General features: G+C 41.9%; 1 protein-coding gene across 2 annotated transcripts in view, besides 2 other annotated features; it reads right to left on the minus strand.

Moving 5' to 3' along the window:
• Positions 1–21,270, minus strand: part of MMD (monocyte to macrophage differentiation associated) — a 29,214-nt gene extending 7,944 nt beyond the window's left edge. Inside the window, exons 1-6 of one of the 2 annotated variants that reach the window (NM_012329.3) lie at positions 21,105–21,270; positions 13,586–13,667; positions 10,692–10,852; positions 7,181–7,255; positions 3,202–3,303; positions 904–973 (exon numbers count right to left, since the gene is read on the minus strand). In NM_012329.3, coding sequence (NP_036461.2) covers positions 904–973; positions 3,202–3,303; positions 7,181–7,255; positions 10,692–10,852; positions 13,586–13,667; positions 21,105–21,130 — 516 coding nt within the window. In that variant the 5' untranslated portion in view covers positions 21,131–21,270. Of the gene's footprint in view, positions 1–903; positions 974–3,201; positions 3,304–3,748; positions 3,983–7,180; positions 7,256–10,691; positions 10,853–13,585; positions 13,668–21,104 lie in introns of those variants that run through there. The other variant, XM_047435708.1, reaches the window with a different exon arrangement.
• Positions 21,211–21,670: a silencer, noted in NCBI's record as "silent region_8733". NCBI's record gives its function as "represses an Ori minimal core promoter by ATAC-STARR-seq in GM12878 lymphoblastoid cells {active_cell/tissue: GM12878}" and the evidence as "EXISTENCE:reporter gene assay evidence [ECO:0000049][PMID:35858748]".
• Positions 24,695–24,794: a silencer, noted in NCBI's record as "silent region_8734". NCBI's record gives its function as "represses an Ori minimal core promoter by ATAC-STARR-seq in GM12878 lymphoblastoid cells {active_cell/tissue: GM12878}" and the evidence as "EXISTENCE:reporter gene assay evidence [ECO:0000049][PMID:35858748]".

Raw genomic sequence — 25,412 nt, forward strand, 5'->3', positions numbered from 1 at the left:
AAAAGGTTCTTACAATGTGCCTATGAGATTAGGAGTGAAATCCTAAGTACAGTTCTTCTGAACAATGTAGGCTCAGAAGGGTTCAAACGAAACACCTTGGGACCTCCTTAGTTAATATAGTGCCTAGAGCCTAAGATACTGCAATATATAAGCTAAAGGGCTGGTAACCAGGTGGATGGAACCATGAAGTCGTAATAATATATTTTCATTTCAAAAAGACAGACACACACAGACTTCTCAACAGTAATTCAATTTGAAAGGGAATTCAAATATATACATGCAACTGCCTATTACAGGTAATGTTACACTTTACCCACGAAAATCCCCAAAAGATATTTTCAAGCAAAGTAAAAGAAAAAAAAAAGTGCTTGCCTTAGAAAACAGAACAAACAAACAAAAAAAGTGCTTGACTTACGACTTAAAAGCAAGGGAAAGGAAAAGTAAGAGTAAAGGGATTTGAAAAATACCTCTCTGAACCTATTCTGGTTCTGATTCAGGAAAGTACCATAAAGACAGAAACATACCTGAATTTATAGCTTTCCCAAACTGTACACGGTACCTAGTGCAAGCTTACGAGTTGCTGGCACACTTCATTATTTTTATTATTTTTTTGAGACAGGGTCTCGCTCTGTTCCTCAGGCTGTAGGGCATGAACACAGCTCACCACAGCCTCAACCTCCTGGGCTCAAGCAATCCTCCTGCCTCAGCCTCCCATGTAGCTGGGACCACAGGCACATGCCACCATGCCAAGCTAAACACTTCATTATTTATAAGTTCTTTTTCTTTTGAGCCTCTATTTAATGGACATAACTTTATAAAGAAAAGCTACATATCATATCCATAATCATGTTAAGTTCCAGCAGCTTAAAAGAAAATAACTAAAATTCTGAAGCCATGTCTTACCATTGATGTCACCACCAAGGCTGGAGAGAATCCCATTGTGAGATAGAAAAAGAGTTCAACCACCTTATATCTGCAGGAACAAAAATGCAGTTAATTTAACTTATAAATTTCTATAACACCTAACAATTTACATACCAGCCTTTCCTTTTTACTTTTGAGAAAGAAATGTAAACTCTTAACTATTCAAATAAAACTTTATTTCTCAGTAGGCAACCACTAGGCCTCTAACTAAAACACAGTAGCTGAGTAACAAGGAACTAGCATTTCTCTCAGGGTTGAAAAGGCATCAAATCCCACATGCCACCTAGAAAATGTTTTCTGCCGGCCGGGCACGGTGGCTCATGCCTGTAATCCCAGCACTTTGGGAAGCCGAGGCGGGCGGATCACGAGGTCAGGAGATCGAGACCATCCTGATTAACACGGTGAAACCCGTCCCTACTAAAAATACAAAAAATTAGCTGGGCGTGGCGAGCGCCTGTAGTCCCAGCTACTCGGGGAGATGAGGCAGGAGAATGGCGTGAACCCGAATGGCGTGAACCCGGGAGGCGGGGCTTGCAGTGAGCCGAGATCGCACCACTGCACTCCATCCAGTCTGGGTGACAGAGCGAGACTCAGTCTCAAAAAAAAAAAAAAAAAGAAAAGAAAAAAAAAAGAAAATGTTTTCTGCCAAAAGTAGTTATCGTTTAACCCACTCCACCTTGTAAAATATTTCCTCTTCTGATCCTAGAGTGTCTGCTTTCATTACCATTCCAATCCAGAGCTAGAAGTGAAATTCTGAAGATGAATGGAGATGCAGCCTGGAGCCTAGTTTATCAGCAAAAAGGAACAGCAAGCCCTAAGGAAAGGACGTGTAATTTTGTTTGTCTCTTTATTTTGCACCTGCACAAACTGTAATTTTAAGGCTCATCACGTTAGACTACAAAAGATCTAAAAACCCTAAGAAATACATTGTATTGAAATTCAAATTACATTTCAGCCTAATCAAACCAGACGATAAGCTCCTCAAAGGCAGGAACCAAGATTAATTATGTTTTGATCTGTAAATCCTAGAACAGTACCTGATACAATTTAGGTACTCCCTAATGTCTGCCAAACTGAATGGCCAAGGGTGACTCATACCTCATTCATCGTGTTTTATACTCAAAGCCTACCATGAAATAATCAGATAGGGGAAGAATGGGTTTATGGGTTTTGTTTACACCAGAAGGCCGGGAAAAGGAGAAAAGATAGTTGCCTTTCTTGACTTCCTATTTTATCCAAGGATATAAATAAGAGATTTGAGTCCAAGAAGCAAACCATTCCCTTGGACTTAAATATGCTATAATATATAACACTACTCAGCATTGCTAATTATGGTCAAAAAGGTATTTAAGTGAATTTCAGAGACAAAAAGAAGTTAGTGAAAACTACCATTTTCTTCTTCTGAAAGGGGAAAACAATTTAGTATTTTCTGATAAACACAAATTATGTTCAATTCTGAGAGCCATTCTGCCAAGCACAATAGATACAGAATTTAATGAACTGTAAATAAACCCAATGACAAAGATTTCCTGGTTGTGTGTTTCTCAAATTCAAACATACAGGGTAATAAAAAGAGCAATGGAATCAGAACTTGGATGTTTGGGTCCTAATTTCCAGATGAGTCACTAATTTGATGCATATCCTAAATGTTCTGACTTTTTAATCATGAAGTTGGAATAGGGGACCTTGAAGGTCTCCTCTAGAGCAAAGATACTAAATTTCAATTAGCTTTTGTTTTTATATGGCTCAATAATTAGGACTATCAGCTATGAATAACTGGCTAAAAAGCTGTGCCCTAGGGATAGGATATTAAGAGTTCCAATGTCCTTCCCAACATCCTTTTTCTCAAGATACCCTTTTTGGAATACCCTCTAGGCCCTTATTTAGGTATATTGTACTGAGCACTTAATATCTATTCTCTCCAATCTTCATAGACACCTTGACAAGTGGCTGGTTTTCTCACGTGATGACTGAATCACAGAGAATAAGGCCAATTTGCCTCATGCTATAGAAATGAAGTCTGATGGACTCCAAAGGGGCTGGTTACCATGTCCCCTCAACTACATTATACCAAACCTGTACCACTCTTGTTTTTCCACAGCAATCTTTCCACTAATAATGAATACCAAATGGTTTTGAAGATTTATTAAAAATAACATATTCTATATATGTATTTCTACTGTTTTGAAGTACAAATAAAAGTAAATTGTATTGCAGTGCAGATAATATTTAGGCAGTCAATTTTAAAACTATCAAATGTAAATTATTTTCTCTTACTTTTCATGGTAGAGAAATACATAAATGGTTCCTCCAGCTGCCATGAGCCAGATAAACCAACGCATATGAGATGCCAGGGGTCCAAGTTCACGAAGATTTAACCTAAAAATGTAAACGTGACAACAAAGAACAGAAGTGATAAATGAAGGGAATTCATAGAACCTGTGTCATTGAAAACTGAGAAAGTCTTAGGATAAGAGCAGGAAGAAAACACACTCAACACATCAAGCAGGCATTTGGGCAATTTAGGTAAAATTAAGCAACTCAAAAACAAATTTGTCAGTCGACCTTTAAGACTCAGAATTAGGCCGGGAGTGGTGGCTCACATCTGTAATCCCAGCACTTTGGGAGGCCGAGGCAGACGGATCACTTGAGGTCAGGAGTTCAAGATCAGCCTGGCCAACATGGTGAAACCCCATCTCTACTAAAAATACAAAAATTAGCCAGGTGTGGTGGCATGTGCCTGTAATCCAAGTTGCTCGGGAGGCTGAGGCAGGAGAATTGCTTGAGCCCGGGAGGCAGAGGTTGCAGTGAGCTGAGATTGCACCACTGCACTCCAGTCTGGGCGACAGAGCAAGACTCCACCTAAAAAAAAAAAAGAATTAGTTTCAACATGGTTTAAAAATAGAACCAGCTAAAAGCAGACAAGTTGAAGGGAGTCCCAGCACTCTTATGACGCCTAACTTACCCTATTAGGCAGAATGAGGTCAAAACTGCTTGCCCTTTAATTTCTGACCATGTATTTGGGAGCAGATTACTTACAAACCTTAATGAGAAGAACCTGGAACAAAATTTTGACGCAGGATCAGATACCCACAGTGGATACCTAATACACAAACCAAGTGTGTCTCCATTATCAGTCTCTCTGCCAAGAGAGAGTATGAGAAGAATTATTCCTAACATGTATTATGGAAGACATTTTGGTAGAATTTAACCATGGACTGTTGTGAGGTTTGAATTTTAAAATGCTGCAAATTCATTTGTACTAATTTCATATTAAGAATACATGAGAAGTTCAGGAACAGTGGCTCACACCTGTAATCCCAGAACTTTGGGAGGCCAAGGCAGGCAGATCACTTCAGGTCAGGAGTTCAAGACCAGCCTGGCCAACATGGTGGAACCCAGTCTCTACTAAAAATACAAAAGTTAGCTGGGCATGGTGGTGGGCACCTGTAATTCCAGCTACTAGGGAGGCTGAGGCAGGAGAATCGCTTGAACCCAGGAGGTAGAGGTTGCAGTGAGCTGAGATCGCACCACTGCACTCCAGCCTGGGTGACAGAACAAGACTCTGTCTCAAAAAAAATAAATAAAATAAATGAGGCCAGGTGTGGTGGCTCACACCTGTAATCCCAGCACTTTAGGAAGCTGACATGGGTGGATCACCTGAGGTCAGGGGTTGGAGACCAGCCTGACTAACATGGTGAAACCCCATCTCTACTAAAAATACAAAAAAATTAGCTGGGCATGGTGGCACGTGCCTGTAATCCCAGCTACTTGGAAGGCTGACGCAGGAGAATCTCTTGAACCCAGGAGGCAGAGGTTGCGGTGAGCCAAGATCGCGCCATTGCAGTCCAGTCCAGCCTGGGCAACAAGAGCAAAACTCCGTCTCAAAGAAAAAAAAAAAAAAAAAGAATAAATGAGGAAGAAACAAATGTTGTCCTGATTATCTATAACTACAAAAGTCACATTTCCAAATGGAAAAAGTACAGCCTACATATCTAAAACTACAGGTAAACAAATTGCCTACTATGATATTTAACTCCTCAGCTCACATTTAAATTAATTTTATTCATTTACTTATTTTAAATTAAAGAATTTAAAATAACTAAGTAAGGAATCCTGTTTGGAACACCCTGTAGGTTCCTACTGAAATAAGCATTGTTCTGGGCATTTAATGTCCATTCATAAAAGCCTTTCAGTGTTCTTCTTCCAACATGAAGCCGACCTATAATTTAGTCAGATGCTGGGCAAAGATAGCACTTACTTTTTACTCCTTCAGATAATCAGGTTTCTTTTGAATCATTGATGCTGCATTAGTCAGAATCTAGAGGCATACTGTTTCTAATGACTACAATAGATGATTGCAAAATATAAGCTTCTGAGTTTTTAAAACTGGATTATGTCTTGTAGAAGAAAGCTAATGTTTCTTTAATTAAGAGTTTCAAAGCAACAAAAGATTATATTTGATCAGCACCAAAAAGGCAGAAAGATCAAAGGCAATGAACAGGATACTAGGTATTTTAAATGGTTCTCTTACTCAGCAAAAGAAATGATAAACACACTTGCTATATAGTAGCTACTGCACTTGAGGTGAATTGAAGACAAATGGCTTAAGTTTCAAAAACAGGCTGGGTGCGGTGGCTCACGCCTGTAATCCCAGCACTTTGGGAGGCTGAGGTGGGCAGATCACTTGAGGTCAGGAGTTTGAGACCAGCCTGGGTAACATGGCGAAACCTCGTCTCTACTAAAAATAGAAAAACTAGCCAGGCATGGTGGCACATGCCTGTAGCCCCAGCTACTCAAAGGCTGAGACAGGAGAATCACTTGAAACTGGGAGGCAGAGGTTGCAGTGAGCTGAGATCACACCTCTGTACCCCAGGCTTGGTGACAGAGTGAGACTCTGTCTCAAAAAACCAACAAACAAAGAAGCCAGATGTGGTGGCAGGCACCTATAATCCCAGCTACTCGAGAGGCTGAGGCAGGAGAATCGCTTGAACCTGGGAGGTGGAGGTTGCATGAGCTGAGACCACGGGCCACTGCCACTGTACTCCAGCCTGGGCAACATAGTGAGACTCTGTCTCAAAACAAACAAACAAACAAACAAACAAAAATGGCCAAGCATGGTGGCTCATGACTGTAATCCCAACACTTTGGGAGGCAGAGGCGGGCAGATCACTTGGGGTCGGAGTTCGATACCAACCTGGTATCGACAACATGGTGAAACCCTATCTCCACCAAAAAATACAAAAATTAGCTCGGTGTGGTGGCACACGCCTGTAGTCCCAGCTACTTGGGAGAAAGAGGTGGGAGAATCACTTGAATCTGAGAGGTGGAGGTTGCAGTGAGCTGCATGGCCAACACAGTGAAATCCCGTCTCCCCCCAAAAATACAAAAATTAGCTGGGTGTGGTGGCACATGTCTGTAGTCCCAGCTACTTGGGAGAATGAGGTGTGAGAATCACTTGAACCCAGGAGGCAGAGATTGTAGTGAGCTGAGATCACGCCACTGCATTCCAGCCTGGGAGACAGAGTGAGACCCTGTCTCAAAAAATAAAAAAATAGGCCGGGCACGGTGGCTCACGCCTGTAATCCCAGCACTTTGGGAGATCAAGGTGGGCAGATCACTTGAGGTCAGGAGTTCCTGACCAGCCTGGCCAACATGGTGAAACCCCGTCTCTACTAAAAATACAAAAATTAGCCAGGCATGGTAGCACGTGCCTGTAATCCCAGTTACTCAGGAGGCTGAGGCAGGAGAATCTCTTAAACTCGGGAGGCAGAGGTTGCAGTGAGCCGAGATTGTGAGACTCCATCTCAAAATAAATAAATAAATAAATAAATAAATAAATAAATAAATAAATAAATAAGCTTGCTTTCCTCATACATATTTACAGCATTTCCACTTGAATAATTCAATTTTCTAGTGTTCTGAACAATAGCAGAGGTATAGGGAAACAATATGGAGAGCAAAGGTTACAGATTTCAAGAGTGAGCAAGCTATCTGCACACAAGTTCATAGCACTTCTTGAACAATCCAATACCCAGATATTATAAACAGCAGCAATATTCTCCCCTTCAAATATGCAATCTGACCCAAGTACATCAAATGGGGAAAAAAATGCATGCATGTATGTGTTCAGGAGGAGGGAAGGTGGTGTACACATGAGGGCTGAGGGTGGGGACAAGAGGGAGAAAGGAAAGGAGGAGTGAGGAATTCTAATCATAAAATCACTACCTTCGAAAATAGGAAGACTGTATCTTACCATGGAGCATAAGAAGCAGCAATGAAGAAATAGATAACCATTCTATCACACATGTGAAAACAATGCTCCACTGTCCTAGCGAGGGGGAAAAAAAAGTAAATTTGTCAGAAAGTGTTCAGATGGGAAGTACGGGTTATCACTCCACTATGTTGCAATTTCCATTCTTGTTCTAGTTCTCATGGCCTTTACACTTGTTCTTCCAAGGTTACACAGATTTTTGTTGCTGTTAATGTTATGAAGTCACGAGTAAAAGCTTTCTGTTATTTTTTAGGTTGCACATACAATAGATTCTCTCAGCATATATAAGACATAGGGACAGGGCCCCATGATAGTTAGAAAGCCTGAAGTGGTTAAAGCAAACAAACAAAATCTGTCTTTTTCTGATGTTTTCCATTTCTTTTGGATCCCCTCTAACAGAAAAATGAAGTTCCTGGAGGGCAGACCACCTCCCCGCAACCTGCCCCAGCTCCTATCAGTGCAGGGCAAAGTCCTGATGTTCAGTAAACACTCCCTGAGCTGAAATCACATTCTTTGTGTCTTTTTAGAAGGTATTTACAGTTTTTACTTCAAATATCCTGGTGTGGACAGTAAATAGTAATAAAGGAAATTCAGAAACTAACTTAGGAAAAACAGTAACAAAAACAAAAAATGGCACATTTACTACAAAAGCATAGCCACCTGTATTTCTAAGCAAGTTCCTCCTTCCAAAACTGAAAAGTCAGAGGTATATGTACAAAGAGTTTGGTTCACTGAGGTCTATTCATAAAATGGATTAGATGGAATTTGCCCTTTACTGAGGTAATTTAAAAGTACAAATTTGTAATATCATCTTGAATCTATTTTCAGTGTCCAAGTAGGTATAACTATAATTTGAGGGAACGCTAGTATTAGACTTTCCTCCCCCTACACGTAACATTGACCAAAGCAAATAATAAAGACTTGTGTGAGTAAGTGAAAAAACATACCCCATAAAGCCTGGGCATGGTGGCTCACAGCAATAATCACAGCACTTTGGGAGGCTGAGGCAGGTGGATCACTTGAGGTCAGGAATTTGAGACCAGCCTGGCCAACACAGTGAAACACTGTCTCTACTAAAAATACAAAAATTAGCCAGGTGTGGTGGCGCACGCCTGTAGTCCAAGCTACTCGGATGGCTGAAGCACAAGAATCACTTGAACCCAGGAGGCGGAGGTGGCAGTGAGCTGAGATCGCACCACTGCACTACAGTCTGGGCAACAGAGTGATAGTCTGTCTCAAAAAAAACAAAAATGTATTCCATAAATATATATACCTACCGTGTATCCACAAAAATTAAAAATAAAAAAAAAGTTTTAAAGGAATGAAAAATACATTTGTGAGAAAGAATGGGTTTCAGTCTACTAGTCATCAGAAGCTATAGCATACCCATAGATGATACTTTATGCCATAGGTCTAAAGAAGCAAACATTACGTCAATGCTTTTCAAACTTGACTGCATATCATCCCCTGGGGAGCTTACAAAATACAGTGATGGCCTCCAGTTCAGAAGATTCTGAAGTGCTAGGAGGTGAGATAGAGGGTGGAGGAAGGAGAATAAGTTTTTAAAACTCCTTGGATGACTGTGATTTCTAGCAAGGTTTTGGGCCTTTCTAATTCTGTTTTCTAGATTGTCATACGCTGTTAGAGTAGGTAGACAACAGACCTGGAATCTTATCCAAAATCTGCCACCGACCTCTCTGACTCTCACTTACCTCATAGGTAAAGTGGAAATAAGATCTTTCTCATGGAGTATGTGTGAACATTAAATGAGATAATGTAGGCCATGTATCTAGCATAGTGCCTAGCACACAGGAGCACCTACCACATAATAAATGCAAATTCCCTTCTCACTTTTACTTAAATAAGGCTTTTTTGATATTTAGAAATTTTAATGAGGAGCAAAAATCTACACATGGCATATGATTCTAGCAATGCTATTCAAAGTTAAAGAGAATCTAGTTTCTATTACACCTCTGGCAGGGAGACCCAGAATACTGAAGTAGGTACCTACAACTTTTTATTGATCCAAAATCTAGACATCGAAGCCAAGTTTGCTGAAACAACCACAAGCACTAAATTGTGCCAAGAAGGTAATATAGTACTTTGCATCTAAACTGGCCTCTGGGCGCTGCGACAGTGTGTCCTAAGGAGCCAGGACAGGCACTTTTGTGGTTCTCTTGTGAGTGTGTCCCAAAGTGCCCTTGTGATTCAATGCTGTGGTTTTATTTTAAGCCCAGGAAACTGTCACCTTACAGGAAAAGGTAGCAGACTGCAAGCTATATGCAATATTGTAAAAGATATGGTGAAAAAAACTAGGACTTGGAGTCAGAGGTCTTGGAATAATCAGATTTTGCCAGTTTCACTGACTCAGACAAGTCAGGCCACTTCTCTGAGCCTCAGTTCCCCCAAATAAAAATGAAGTGATTTGAATTAGATGATTTCTAAAGATCCTCCCAGCTCTAAAACTCTAGGATTCTGCATGTGAGGAAACCAGTAATCATCTCATAAATCTCAAATCCTGCTTGTAAAAGGAGCATATATTTTAAATATCAGATTGTTTGAATAGTTTGAGTTTTTTTTGGACGTTCTTTAAAACCAAAAGGCATATTCGAGTATTTCTTTAAATTGCTCATAGTCTGCTCTGAAACTTCCTTTTTTGAAAAGAAGTTTTGCCCTTTAGGGTTGTGCAGAATCCATTTCACAAGCAAACCATTCCCACCTAAATGGTGTGGTGCTCCAAAATCAATCCTTCACTCAGAGGAGGAAAGCGTTTACGTTCTTCTCATTGGCAGGCCAAGAGCTATAGTATTGTTTTGAAAGTGCTTGACTATTAATAGCAAAATACGTGAACTCTGTTTGAATAATATACACAAGACTTAATTCTGAAAGCTAAACTTTGCAAAATGGTAAACGCAAACTATAAGTATACCTTCATACCTCACACACTCATAGGGTCTTTTGTAATTTTCAAGTTATTTTCAAGTACCTTATCTCATTCACCTATCACACTGACTGTGTGACTCAGGTATTATTATTCTCATTTTAGTGATACAGATACTGAGGCTCCACAAGGTCAAGTGATTTACCCAAAATTAAAGAGCAGGGCTGGGCCTCAAAGCCTGCCTGCTGACTCCAAGCTCAGTGTGCTTTGTCACTACCCCATAGCTGCTGCTCTCATCATATCCTTAGTGTGCTTGATAGTACTGGAAAATAGCTCTCAGGTTTTTAAGTGGTAAGTCCTGGGGAATCAGTTAGGTTTTGTTTGGGGTTACTGAGCAAAGGCCTACCTTCTTAGATGCCTGCTGGGGAGGAGTCCTAAAACTTCATCCAGTCCAAAGAACAAGTCCTGAATAATGGGATAGTATTCTAGTCTACAAGGCAGAAAAATGTCTACTCTTTGCCCTACTTGACTAAAGCATGCCAGCTTGGAAGGGTACCAAACACGTTGAGTCAACTATTTGGATCTGTTGAAACAGCATGTCATCCACTGTACCTTAAGTGGCTCTTTTTCCATGATACAATGTGAAATACTGTAGAAACGATGAAGAGGGCACAGAGTCCCATTCCATAAATCCATGCTGTTATCTTTTCCCAGCAGTCATCAGACAGCCGATGGAGGAGGGCACTGCCCACGATGGCCGGAACAATGAGGAACTGAGGGAAAGATAAAGAATGGTGAATGGAATATTCTGGCTTTTATGGAATTGAGTCTTTTACTAAAAATACAGAGCTTTACCAGGAACAATTTTAGTAAAATAATCTTAGAGCAAGTATTTGTCTCTCCTGGATAATCATAACGAGAGCCAGATGAAGTTAGCTGCTACACTGGAAAGCAGGTAATACCACTCAGGGTCCAGGAATTGTGCCAACCAGTGGGGATACAATTAAGCCATCAAGGATGCAACATCATTCAGCTGTTGCAAAACAGATGGTTTTTTTTTTTTATCCTAATTTCATTAAATAAGGACATGTTTCATTCTACTTTATAATCTGATTTAGAGTAATTACTTAAAATATTCAAATGCCAAGCAGGCAGGGTGTGGTAGCTCATGACTGTAATCCCAGCACTTTGGGAGGCTGAGGCAGGAGAATCGCTTGAGCCCTGGAGTTCCAGACCAGCCTGGGCAACACAGCAAGACTCTGTATCTACAAAAATTTAAAAAATTCGCCAGGCATGGTGGCAAACACCTGTAGTCCCAGCTATTTGGCAGGCTGAGGTGGGAAGACTGCTTGGGCCTGAAAGGTTGAGGCTACAGTGAGCCATGATTGTACCACTGAACTCCAACCTGGGAGGCAGAGTGAGACCCCATTTCAAAAAACAGCCAAGCATATACTCAGATTTTTCAGGGAGGTCCTCATTTTAAAATATCTGTCCTATTGCAATTGAAATCTCAATATTTCAGGACAGGATAATTGAACAAATCAAGTAATAGGTATTATAATGTACATAGCAACACACACATACAAAAAGTCAGTTGTTGAAGTTATATACCCTGATTTTCAGTTTGGATCTGTACATTCCACCAATTTGAGAGCTACTGCAGAATGTAAGAGTTTTGGGGTCACTTCATTTTTAACAGAGCCTTTTAAGTAAGCAAGAGCAAACCATTTCCAAGGCCCACCTATTCAAAAAATCTTGAGAATTTTAGAGAGATTTGCTTTCTGCATCATATTTCATAGTCCACATGGTCACAAACTTTAATGTCTAGTCATATGTGTATGACTATGACTAGTAAACATCTTACAATGACAGAAGCTCCCAGGAGAATAAACTACTTTATTAGATATTAGAGTAAGCATACTTGACAAAGAATACAAATGTTAGCAATTTGCTTATCTTTTTTCTCCCCAAACCTACATTTGTCACCTTGCAACAGACTATTAAATCCCCTAGATGAGACTGGCATGAGTTTTTCAGATGCTGAAGTTTTCGTTGGCCCAAGCAAAATTAGAACATTAAATACAATTGCATCTCCTCCGGGAAGCAATGGCCACTGTAGGGGTGAGAGTCTATGGCTCGCCTTCCTATTTCAGAGGATTTAAGTACATTTAAGTACAATAAAGTTTTTCATAAAACAAAATGTATTTCATTTAAAGGAATGCCCTTTATCTTGAGATCATGTCCTTACTACTTTTCATGTTAAAGTATCTTCTCTTCAATGAAATGATGACAATAGGGGTGTTTTGTCTGTGTTAGAAATATTACTGGTCCCTGAAATCCAAAAATTCAAGATACGGTTTAATAAGATTATATTTTCTGTTCTAAAAAAATTAATATGGGGGTTTTGTCAGGTCTCCCTTTACTTAAGTTTACACAAGTGTTCCTTAACCTGTGACACACTCAGAAGAGACAAGTTAAGGTTTATTCAGGTTCATCCGAGTAAATATTATTCCTAAAGGTAAGCTGTGTGTTTCAATATCTGAACCATTGTATTGTACCAACAGTGACTACCACAGTTAAACTAGCCTGTTCCAAACACTCATTGTTAAAGAAGCAAACTGGTCTTTTCTCTATTTCTTGTTTTCAGACTGTATCCCAGCCACTATTTTTCCCTCAATGTCACTAAATGCAAGGGAATAATGAAACCACAGGTAAAGTAAAAAATTTATAATGACATAAGAAATGCCATTAATGTCACATTAACAGGAAAACTGAAAATACATACATATTCACAAACACCCCCAACACAGAGACACACATATACACACACACATACACACAAACACACACACAAAGAAATGCACCGAAGTGTTAACAGTTTATTTCTGGTTAGTTTTGTTTTTCTTATATATTTTTCAGTATTTTTAAAGTTTCTTATAATAAGCATGTTTTGCTTTTACAAAGCAGAAAAAAATTAACAAAAAATTTAGGGATCACATCGGCTTTTTCTTCACCAATATGGAATAACATCTCCTCTGGGAAGCAATGGCCACTGTAGGAGTGGGAGGCTATGGCTCCCCTCCCCATTTCAGAGGATCACTTAATTTTAAAAAGCATCTTTTTCAACAAACTGTGAACTCTCTTTGCCAAATGAACACAGTTGATTGTCTTGAAAAGGCGATTCATTTCATTCTAGGGGTGACAGTCTTCATAAATAGGTGTCTTTGGTTTTTCTATAACTAGGGTACATACTATTATTATTCCTTTAAAGAATATCTTGTTGGAGAAAGCGAATCCAGGACAGAGCTGACTGTAGGTTAGAACACACAAAGCATTCTACATGCTTACATAGTTTCTGGTGACACGACCCAGAACTGATTTCCTGGTAGATAAGGTCACAGATGGGTAAATCCAACTAATTGTGCTGAGGTTACTAGAGATAACTACCCCTTCCTCCCACCAAAGCCCCGTGGAAAGGATGGCAATGGTGGAAAACTTGTACTCACTGCGTGTGTGTAACAGTTAGCAGCATGTTCATAGCAAGTTGGCTTGTAGCGGCCATTGGCTGGAGCTCGATGGTTCATGAACCTGTAAAAACAAAAAGAACACATGTAAGAAAAACTCAAAGTGTGTGAAGAACAATGAGGAAACCCACCAGTGGGTATGTGGTCTATTCTACGCAAAGAAGTGACTGGTGGAAATACCCAGTTGCGGTAATAAAGCCAAAGCCACTAAAGAGGAGTAAACTGAGCCAATAGCAATGATCCTTAAGCAAATACCCTAGTTTATTAGATTAAGCCTTCTTTCAGTTTATTCAAAAGAAAAACCTTCCATAACCAAAAGCAAACTTCTACAACCAAAAGCAAAGAGAAACCATATCCACCCCTTCAACTGGAACCCTCCTCCTCCATTCACACACACACACACACACACACACACACACACACACACACACGGTACAACTAGAAAAAAAAAACGAATTTTTCTAAATTTTATTGTCATTTAGTGAAAAGGGATACACTACATTTGAAAAACAAAGTTTCTATTTTCTCTCTTAAAATTTATAAAGCTTTATATAGGCACATCTTTAAACCCTACATCCCATGATTAACAGGCCTGTCCCACTAGTTTCCCTATATTGTATTACCAGACAGCTTAAATAAATGACACCTGGCTACCTCTAGGCAACTTAAAACCGGAGGTATGTTTTCACCTTTGTTCTTCCTGAAATCAAAAAGTCTGCTTCAAAAACCAAACACATGACTACTACCTGATTCTTTTGGCTATAAAATTCATATATACACACAAATGTGTGTACGTATCTAAATATCAAAATCTGTTACATATATAGACATATGCCCATATTCCGCACTTCCCTTTAGGCTAACTTTGTGACCATCAGTAGTACAGAGAAAAGCATGAATACCACAGAACCTAAAGAGAGGATAGCATTCTTCCATTTCAGTATGCTGAGTGAGGATGCCCTCCCCACCAAAAACCCAACCCATACCCACAACAGGTTTCATGAGGGACTCTGGATTAGTCTAATTAATCCTTTTTTTCTCAGGAGAGAAAAAAGCAGCTGTCTGAATAAAAGAAGAAAGAGGTAGATGCACAGAAACAGACGGACGTAAAAAAAAAAAAAAATTTCAACAGCATTCAGGTTGCAGAGGTCCACTGCACTCCTGTGCTTAAGAGTCTGTAAGACGTCAACAGGCTTTGCACAATAAATAATCCTTTTGCTCAAGCTAGTTTAAAGAAGTGTGAATGGGGGTTGGGGGTTGGTATTTTGTGCCACTAATGAGTTCTAACTACTCATTACCTTATTCATACACAAAATAAAAAATGGTACAGGGCTGAACCAAATGGTAGAACCAAGTTGCCAAAAATTGGCTAAAACGCATGACCAAGCCATTTTAGAGAGTGCCAAGTTTATTAATAAAAGACCAGCCAATACTCTTTCCCTGAGTTAGGAAGAGCCTGTTATCGTTAGATCAAATAAATAAAAATAAAGTGGCAGCCACTATTAACACAATACAGATAGTTCAGGTGGAAAATCCACTGGGGAATGAATTTGGGACAGTGAAGATATTTCACTTGGCCCACTGATGGGTTAAGATATTTAACTAGTGTACAAAATATGTACTTACTGAGTATAATCTACCAGATGGTTTGAAAACCAACTGTTAAAGAGAAATATACAGTTAGTAGCTTCAAAATTTATCCAAGCTATTCTCAAATATAGTTAACTATTATTAAGCATCATCTTTTCTCCCCTGATAATATTTTAAATAATTTTACTAATTTCCTAAGAGACAAGAGTGTTGCTATACAGCTCTTATTAGCAAAAAAGAAAATAATTACACTCTTGGGAAGAATGCTTTAAAAGTGTCCCAAGAATTGGAGGATATACCACATCATTGTCCTGAGACATAACAACAGAGCTATAAGTAGCATACCCTATTAGGAATTTTCAAGGCTAAAGAGCAAGGCCCCAAGATGGCTGTAGTTAGATGAAATTGAATGTGCTCTGTGTAGGGTGCAGTAAGTAGGATTTGTCTACCCACCACCAGGCTGCAGACTAAAATAGCAATTTATATCTCTGGCAGCCCAATCTAAAAATAGTCAAGCCATTACCCAGCAACAGGGATAGACTTTCACATTTTCTCCTAAAAACAAATAAACTGGATGGCCATGTTTGTGACAGCTTAGTCCCTGATCACCTGGAATAATTCACATTAAAAAATAAAAGTAGAAAGTTATACAGAAAAATATCCCACCCATGGTGACTTAAGGCACTCTATCCTGATGCACAGGGTAAGACACGGGCAATAGGGAAAGATAAGGGTAACTATCCTGGAAGCAATTCTCTAAATCTGGGGCTCAGTAGGATAGACAGCATAATTGTTCTGCTGGGAAAGTACAATACAATTTTCCCATTTCTCTCTAACCTGCCAGGGTGCAATCAAGCCTCCTCCACAGCCTCCTGAAGAAATCACTCCTAAAACCTAAATGGAAAAGCAGATGTAAAATGTAAATCAACTCCCACACTCTGGCCTTCATCTCTTCCCCGAAAAAAGAATGGGAAAGGTTCAAGTGCTGGTTATGGAAAACAGCATCCATTTATGGAAGACATCTCTATTTAAAGCGGAGTGGCCCTAATGGTTACTCAATGCTTGAGTAACCAACAAGCTCTAGAGGGTTTGAAGGAAGGTGATTCAGTCCTGGGAGTGGGAGCTGCACTTAATAAAGCTACTAGTTAGGCAGAGTTTTTTTACTCATTCCTTCACTTTCTCTTTCAAAACTCTCCTGCCTTCCCCCTTGCCCAACGTTCTTATCACCTCCTCCTTCCCCCATACCCCTCTCCCATGCCATGACAGAATTTCAAAACCATGGAGGGAAAGAACAGATCAGAGACCTGGGAACACTCCTTAGCACACTAACACACTTTAAATTCAACCTAAAGCACTGTGCCCACTGAGTAGATCTGCAACCCACCAGCAGATCTCAGAGGCTGATCTCAGTAGATCAAATCCCACAAGTGTTCCTCATTCTCCGAGTGCAAGTACCATCAACACTACCTTCAAAATATATTTCAAATAAGTCCACCTCATCACTTGAGGTCAGGAGTTCAAGACCAGCCTGGCCAACATAGAGAAACTCCATCTCTACAAAAATACAAAAATTAGCCTGGTGTGGTGGTGTGCACCTGTAATCCCAGCTCCGCGTCTCCTACCTTAAATAAAGACCTAACATCTCAGGTCTGTACAAATACAAAGTCTCTTAACTAGTCTTCCTGCTTGACCCAGTACAGACTCTCTTCTTTACATAGCAGCTACAGTTTTCCATTAGAAACAGATGAGGGGCTGGGCATGGTGGCTCACACCTGTAATCCCAGCACTTTTGGGGAGCTGAGGCGGGAGGTTGCTTGAGCCCAAGAGTTTAAGACCAGCCTAGGCGGTATAGTGAGATCCCATCTCTACACACAAAAAAAAATGTAAAAATTAGCCAGGTGTGGTAGTGTATGCCTGTAGCCCCAGCTACTTCTGACTGAGGTAGAAGGACTGCTTGAGCCTCGGAGGTCAAGGCTGCAACAGTGAGTTGTGATGGCACCACTGCACTCCAGTCTGGGTGACAGAACAAGACCCTGTCTCAAAAACAAACAACAACAAAAAACCCAGATCACATCACACACCCCAATCCCAGCTTAAAGTCTGCCTCTGGCTTCCCAAAGTGCTTACGATAGCACTGTAACACAGTGTTCAGAGGCCCACAAGCCCTGAGTGGTCTGGGCCTCACTACCCCTCCAGTCTCAGGGTGGCATCTTTCTCTCTCTCCATCCTCTGGCTATACCACCTCCTTTCTGCTCCTTAAACACATCAAGGTTGTGTCTGCCTCTGGGCATGTGTACTTGCTGTTTACTTCTGTCTAGGATATTCTCCAGAATGCTCAGCTCTCTTCTCATCCTTTCAGCTCAGCTCAGATGTCACCTCCTCAAGAGAGGTTTTCCAGACTATCCTAACTGAAGTATCATTTCAACCCTCCCCATCCAACCAGAGCCCTATGTCACAATTGGTAAGACTTTGATTTGTTTTAGCTTATTTTTTATTTCATCTTTTCCCACTGTAGTGTGAATTCCATGAAGGCTGTCTTGTTCACCTTTCCATTACCAAACTGAAGTACAATGCCCAGCTTATTGCTAGAGCTTAATAATTGTTGAATGAATAGAAAGACATTCCAGCTACTGCTGAACTATTTTGTCTTAACAAAGATATCCCATAGTCAATTAGTTTTACTGTGGACACAGCAGGTTCTGTAAGTAAGAGAAACAGGCAGCCTTGGAACCAAGAGAACCCCGAATCTCACACACACACAAAAACACTTAAAATCCAAGACAACGGATATTCCAAGGGCCCCTTCAACATCATTTATGTTGCAACGTATAAGTGGACCCCTCTTACTATTAGCTCCCCTTTATGACTGAGCATATTTGTTCAGGAAAAGTGTCTACTGTCAATAGTGCCAATCTTGACTTAATTATTAAATAAAGGAAGATGGCATATATAAGGAGACTACCCCATGCCTATGATTTAGTGCTTTAAGAACATGGGAAAAAAGACAATAGGTAGCCCTGTAAGACTTCTAATACTGTAGATTAAAATGCTTTCCCACATATCCAGTTTTGAAGCTAGCTGCATGATCATGAGGTTGGGGCTGAGGAAAAGGGCTTCTTTTTCCTTGGATTTTTGGTTGCAAGACTGTTGAAATGAGTACACACCAACAAGAAGATACAGTAGAGCTCTGTGGATCTTATGCCTATAAGATCTGTGTGCCCACACACAGATGTGGTGTGGGCAGAGAGTTAAGAGAGAGAAAGAGGTGAGCTAGCAGCATGACTGGTTGAGAGACAGACATGAAGTTGAACTCTTGGGTCTACCCCTTCCTAGCTGTGTGACTATGGGCAAGTTCCCTTTCATTCTCTAAACCTATTTACTCTTCTATTAAATGGGTATAACATTTATGTCTTCCAGAGTTATAGTTGAGGATGAGTAATATACAAGTGCCCAGCCAGTGCCTGGCATAGATAAATGGCACTCAATAAATATTAGCAGTTATTGCCATCAATCAGAGATGCTATGAAGGGGAGAGGATGACTTTGTGTTTGTCTATGTGTGTGTAGGTATCTTGGGGATACTCAAGTGTGAAACATAAAATGAGGAAGATAAAATATGCCTCTGTGTTCCAGTGAAATTTTTCACATCCTAAGTTTGTTAAGAAGCCATCATTGCATAAACCCTCCTCATGCTCCTCCATCCAGTCCCAATAAATCTATCAGGAGGGAGGAAGCATGTCTCCCTTCAAAGACAGTGTGTCTCTCCCTCCAGTTCCTTTGCAATTTACCTACCTGGGAATGCTCAGAAAGATATATCATGAACACAGCATTAAAAGATGCAGAATAGTACTACTCTCAGCATTTTAATGTGTGAACCACAAAAATCAGGACATTCTCATTACATTACTTTTTGTTTATAGGCTTTATTTCCAAGTTAAAATTGATGCTTAGAACTATGTTTCCAACCTAGCTTATGATAGAAAACCAAGAAATTATGAGATCACACAAATCTTCAAAGAAAATCAGGGTAGATCTAGATGTCATCAAGAAAGAAACTGTTAAATATCCATTGAGAAACACACAAGCCCCCAAGAAAATTACAGTCTATGCCACACCAAAAGAAAATACCTGTATTTTTAGTTTTTAAGTGAATAATAGCGCAAAAATCACATTACAACTGTGCTAATAAGGAATGGAGAGATCAGTGTCCAGCAAAAATAATTAAAAAGTCAGTTCAATAAGCTGAGAGGGTAGCATCCTAAATGAAGTTGTTGTTGTTGTTGTTTTAACAGTTTTAACGTTTGTGCAACAAATAATTGAACAGGGTTTGTTTGTTTTTTTTCTTTTTAGAGGATCCAAAGGTATAGGTAAGAATGACAAACTCTTAATCAAACAAGGAAGGGGCAATTTCACAGAATATTGCCACTGTTCTCTGAAAACAGGAAGAGCACAGACGTGTAGAGAAGTAAAACCAAATCAAACCGCATGCACAGGGCTTCACTGATCATGACTGGAGTGCATGTTACATTCTCTCTAAAAGCCCCTCCGGTCTTCATTTCTGACATCAGGTTCTAAAGTCAGAACACTACGGTTCCATTTTGCCCTTAGACACACCGGTATGAAGTTCCACTGGGGGAACAGTGCCAAGCATTCAACACCCTGACTGATAAGCAATATATTCAGAAGTCAATCCAAGTCTTCAAGCTGATCCCCTTCCTGGTGGCCCAGACCATGGCAACTCTTCTGTGCATTTGTTGCCTCCTTTACCCTTTGGGACTGGGGGAGGAATGAGATGGGTGAGAGGGCAGTGAGGGCATGGAGATTGGAAAGAAAAAAAAAATGTGTACTTTAAAATTCTGAAATAAAAGGTAGTGTCTAAAAACTCAACAACCTTCTTGGAAGATTTCATGCATTTCTTAAAATTTCCCCTGTCACTGCACCCCCAGCAAACATGCTGGTGGTGAAGGTCCGGGAATTCACACAAAGGGATGCAGTTACCATATGCCCTGGAGAGGTGAACTTTCACCCACTTAAACAGAAAAGAAAAGCCCGGAGTTCCTCTCAGAGTCATGGGCTAACCTCCATCCATTGTTAGACGGTGGAGCCCCAGAGGGGAGTAAGGCCACGGCGCCCCCCAGCCCGGCATTTCCACCAGCTCTACAGTGAATGAGCAGTCGGCCAGCCTTCCGGTGGCGCCTCCACGGTTCCTCCTCCTCGTTTCCTAACACCGGCGCCTCCACAGCAGGTCTCGCCACCCGAAAGCTAACATGCCCCTTCGCAGAGCCCAAAAATAGCACCGCCCTGGGACGTTCAGCTGGAGAACCAGCAAGGCCCCTACACGGCCAGGCAGGGCTAAGCTGGCGGAGCGTGCCTCAGTTTCCCTGTTGCTAGGGCCGTTCACAAAGCACCCAAAATGCCTAGCACCCCGCTTTACGACAAATCTCTCCGCAGGGCGCCACCCCGTTCCGCGCGCCCCGGGAGACCCCCACCCTGGAGGTAAAGGGATGGAGGCCAAAGCCAGGTCGGAGGACTCGGGGGCGGTGCCCGGGGCTGGGGTTCGGGTTCCCAGAGAGAGCCAGAGCCCAGCCTGTATGGGGGTCGGGAGGGTGAGCCCCAGGAGCAAAGGGATCCCCGGGAAGGAGGACAGGCTTGGAGTCCCGGGGCCGGGAATCCATCTGAGGTCCGCAGATCGCGAGGGGAGACCCGGGTGAGGCAGGAGCTCCCATCCTTGGAGGAAGGGGATCGCCCAGGGACAGCAGGGTGGGGAATCCCCAGGGAACTGATCCCTGGCCAAGGTGCGGGATCCACCCAGGATGAATCCAGGTGAGGAGCCGGGAGCCGTGCGCTTAACGGCGGGATTTGGGAACCCGCTTCTGACACGGGCAGCGGGACCGGGACGCCATCCCTCTCACCGCTGGAATCGATTCTTGAACCGCATTGATCCTCTGCTCCTCCTCGGGGGCCAGGAGCTCCGTCTCGTCAGCACCGGCGGCCGGGCGCGCGGCCCTCATGGGCTTGGGCTGCTCCGGAGGCCGCCTGCGTGTCCAGCGGAACCCTTCGGCCGGGTAGGGTCGGAGTGGGCCAGGCCGGGGGTCGGGACAGGGCTGGGGCCAGACCGGGCGGCTGGGGGCGGGAGGGAGGCCGCTTCAACGGCCCCAACACCTCCCGCCTCCCGCCTCCCGCCTCCCCGGCTCCTCCGCCCCGGGGCTCCTGCGCCCCGCCCCGGAGCCCGGCTCCGCCCCCGCCGGCTCTGTTCGCCTGCGTGCACCCGCGGTCGCCGGCGCGTCAGCGCGCCGGTCAGCCAATCGGCACCCCGAGCGGCGCGGCGGCTACGCTGCCATTCATTCCCGCCGGGCTCGGGCAGCGAGGCGGGGCCTCGCTGGGGAGGGGCGGGGCGAGGGGAAGGGGAGGAGCGCGGGAACGCGGCGCCCTTCTGTAAGAGACAAGTTGGAGAAGAGATCGAGGGAGGGAGAGAAGTGGTGAAGGAGGAGATGGACCAGGAAATCTTAAAAGCATTGTGAAGAAAATAGCAGCAAACAAGCAGCCCTACCTCATTCATTTTTTCTTCATCATTAATTTCTCCATCCCTCCTTTCATTTATTCCTTCATCATTTTGAGGGCCAGCTCCCGCGAGGCTATTGTGAGAGGATCCAGGGCAGAATGAAAAACCTGTCCTTGTCTGACCCTTGAGGGAGTTGAGATCTCTGAGCGTCTTCTAACTCTGAGATTCAGTGAGATCCACAAAAGGAGGAATCCTCTGCAAGGATCCTTTTATGTTATCCTCCAGTTTATTTTTTATTTTATTTTATTTTTATCCAGGCAGCTTTCAAATAAACGAGTTGACTTGAATCAGGGTCCTGTCGCTAAACCTAAACTCAGAGGGCTTCCTGGAAGAGAAGTTCAAATAAAAATGAATGAATGGGCCAGGTGCTGTGGTTCATGCCTGTAATCCCAGCACTTTGGGAAGCCAAGGTGGGCGGATCACCTGAGGTCAGGAGTTCGAGACCAGCCTGGCCAACTTGGTGAAACCTTGTCTCTACTAAAAATACAAAAATTAGCCGGGAGTGGTGGCGGGCTCCTGTAATCCCAGCTACTCGGGGGGCTGAGATGGGAGAATCACTTGAACTTGGGAGATAGAGGTTGCAGTGAGCCGAGATTGCACCACTGCATTCCAGCCTGGGTGACAGAGTGAGACTCTGTCTCTCTCTCTCTCTCTCACACACACACACATACACACAGAATGAATGAATGGGTGATTTGTCGAGCCTTTCCAGGATCACTGATGGAAGTTATATGTGTTCCCTTCCAGGTATCGTGTCCATACCCAGCCCCCAGCCTGCAGGCTAGAGACTCTGAAGTGGCATGAGGCCAGCCTGCTAGGAGTGCTCATTCGACCTACAGTAAAGCATTGGAAAGCCAGGGAATTCTGTCACCCATAATTCTAGTTCCCTTTCCTTGAACCTTCCAGAGAGGTGCTTTCCATGCTTCAATCTTCCCAAGAGCTCCTCCAGATGGGCATTATCCAACTTATTTTACAGATAAGGCTGAGGCTTATAGTGGTCAATAAACTTGCCAAAGGCAAAAGTAAGGCTCCTACCTACCTTTCGCTAACTTTAAAGACCCACCTCCTTTCAGTACGTCAGACTATCTCTCCCTGTTTTAAAGCAATACACTTCTCTAAAACAAAACAAACAAAACAAAACTTCATCTACCCGCACCCTCAACACTAAATCGGGAAAATGAACCTGGAATGAAAGTCTGCTTCTTATCAGCTATGTTGGGCCACTGGGCTAAAACATCAGTGCGGGAGGGGAAGGTAACAAAGGAGATAGCTAATAAAGATAGATGAAAAATAGCCATGTGTAATAACATAAGAAGGGTTAAAAAATAAAACAAGGAAGCTCAATTGTAACAGATGTACCACACTGTTGGGGGATTTTGATAACAGGAGAGGCTATGTATGTGTGGGAAATCCCTGTACTTTACTCTCAATTTTTGAGTGATCCTAAAACTTCTCTGGAAAAAAAAAAGTCTTTTTTTTTTTTTTTTTAAAGGGCCAGGCACAGTGGTTTGCACCTGTAATCCCAACACTTCGGGAGGTCTAGGTGGGAGGATCGCTTGAAGCCTGGAGATTGAAACTAGCCTGAGCACCAAAGCAAGAGTTCATCTCTAACAACAACAACAACAAAATTAGCCAGGTGTTGTGGTAGGCACCTGTAGTCCCAGCTACTTGGGAGGTTGAGATGGGAGGATCACTTGAACCTGGGCCACAGAGTGAGATCCTGTCAAAAAAAAAAAAAAAAGAAGGAAGGAAGGAAAGAAAGGCAGTGCTGATATATGTTACAACATGGATGAACCTTGGAAACACTATGTTAAATGAAAGAAACCAGTCACAAAGAACTGCAGATTGTATGATTCCATTCATACAAAATTCCATTTATATGTCCCAGAACAGGCAAATCTATAAAGACAGAAAGTAGATTAGTGGTTGCCTAGGGCAGGGGAATGGGAGGGGATTGAGAAGTGATGGCTAAGCGGTACAATGGTTCTTTTGGGGTCTAATGAAAATTTTCTCAAATTGTGATAATGGACGTACAATTCTGTGAATATATAAAAGCCACTGAACTCTACACTTTAAGTGGGTAAATTGTATGGCATAGGAATTCTATCTTAATAAAGTTGTTAAAAGATTTTGAAAAATTTTAGTTTCTGTAAAAAGGTTGAAATAGAAATATCTGGAGCACAGAGATCGTCTTATTCATGTTTGTATTTCTTGGATACTTTTAACAGAAACTGACACACAGTAGGTGCTCAATAAAGTTATTCATATGAACTTAATTAAAAAATAACAAAACGACAACAACACAATGAGCCAACAGATGCCAGATCACATCTTATTAGTGATGTAGGAATGTGCAGAGATAAGAAGTGAACTGAGTATGATGAGCATAATGAGGAAGAGGTGCCAGAGAGAAGGAAGTCTGCAGATGGATTTTGATTGAGATGCTGGATGGTATCACTTAGCACAAACTTTCCCACTGGGAGAACAGCTTGAACAAGGAAGAGAAGTGGTTGGTATAAGGAAAACTTTTGAGAGGCTACCTAAGTTTGGAAACATCAGTGAGAATGATACTTACCCAAGGAAAAAGAAATGAATGAGATAAAAAGTCAGATTAAATCAGATGAAATAAAACACTTTGACCTACAGTGGTCTCTTCCACAGAAATGCTGGACTATCAACTAAAGGTGACTTAAACAAATATGGTCGCAATTTTAAATTAACCTCATCTTTCCTGAAACCTACCCCCCCAAGGTAAAAGCAAGCCACAAAAGATAAAAAGAAAACACAAGAAACAGGTTTAAATGAATCATGTAAACACCTGCCACATTTTTTTTAGTGAGGTGTTTAGTGAATCTGTTTCTGAGGAGCAATCCCAAGTATGATTGCAGCAAAGAGGTACTCAATTTGATTTAGAGATTAGTGTTGTGAGAGCTGAAGACAATGGAAAATGTTTTGCATTAGCAGAATGTGACATTTTTGTTGAGCTCAGAGTTACAGTTCTTCTTTCTGCAAAACTGCAGATGTATATTTGCATGGGCATCGCCTGTGCCTATAAGAAGGAATTTGTGATAGAGCTAACTCCAGGTGCAATAGAACAGATGCCAGAGGAAAGTTTTAGGAGAGCAAACACCTGCTCTGCTCACGGAGGGATACAGAGTTCCTGGATAGGATGCCATTCATACGAGGAAGCAAGCACCTGGGACCTGCTCCCCTAGCTCTGATCATCCAATCTGAAAGTAGCAGCTTTTCTCCAAACTTTGACTCCAGACACCTCCGGAAGACTTGACTGAACTTCCAGTCTCCTCCGGTGTTCTGTAACTGGCTTTCAATCTGTTTTTTTGTTTGTTTGTGTTTTGTTTTTACAAATATGACCGAATAAAGCAAGTTTTAAAATGAAGATGCTCCCAGTCTTTCCTTCTTTTCTGAAAAGAAGAATGTCGTCTTTTCCTACTTGGTTTTCTGCCCACAGTCGCTGACCTTTGAGTAGTGCTTCTGTCTCTCATGCCCCATTGCTAGACTTGCTTGATAAAAACAACTGGATAAAGCAATGGGAAGAAAAAAAGATCTACAGAAAAAGCGAAGGACTTAGGTAGATGGTCTATATTTATCACCCTGATAAAGATGAATAAGAAAAGAAATCCATGCTCTGGGAGATATT

The sequence above is a fragment of the Homo sapiens genome, chromosome 17, assembly GCF_000001405.40.
Source record: "Homo sapiens chromosome 17, GRCh38.p14 Primary Assembly".
Classification (NCBI taxonomy): domain Eukaryota; kingdom Metazoa; phylum Chordata; class Mammalia; order Primates; family Hominidae; genus Homo; species Homo sapiens.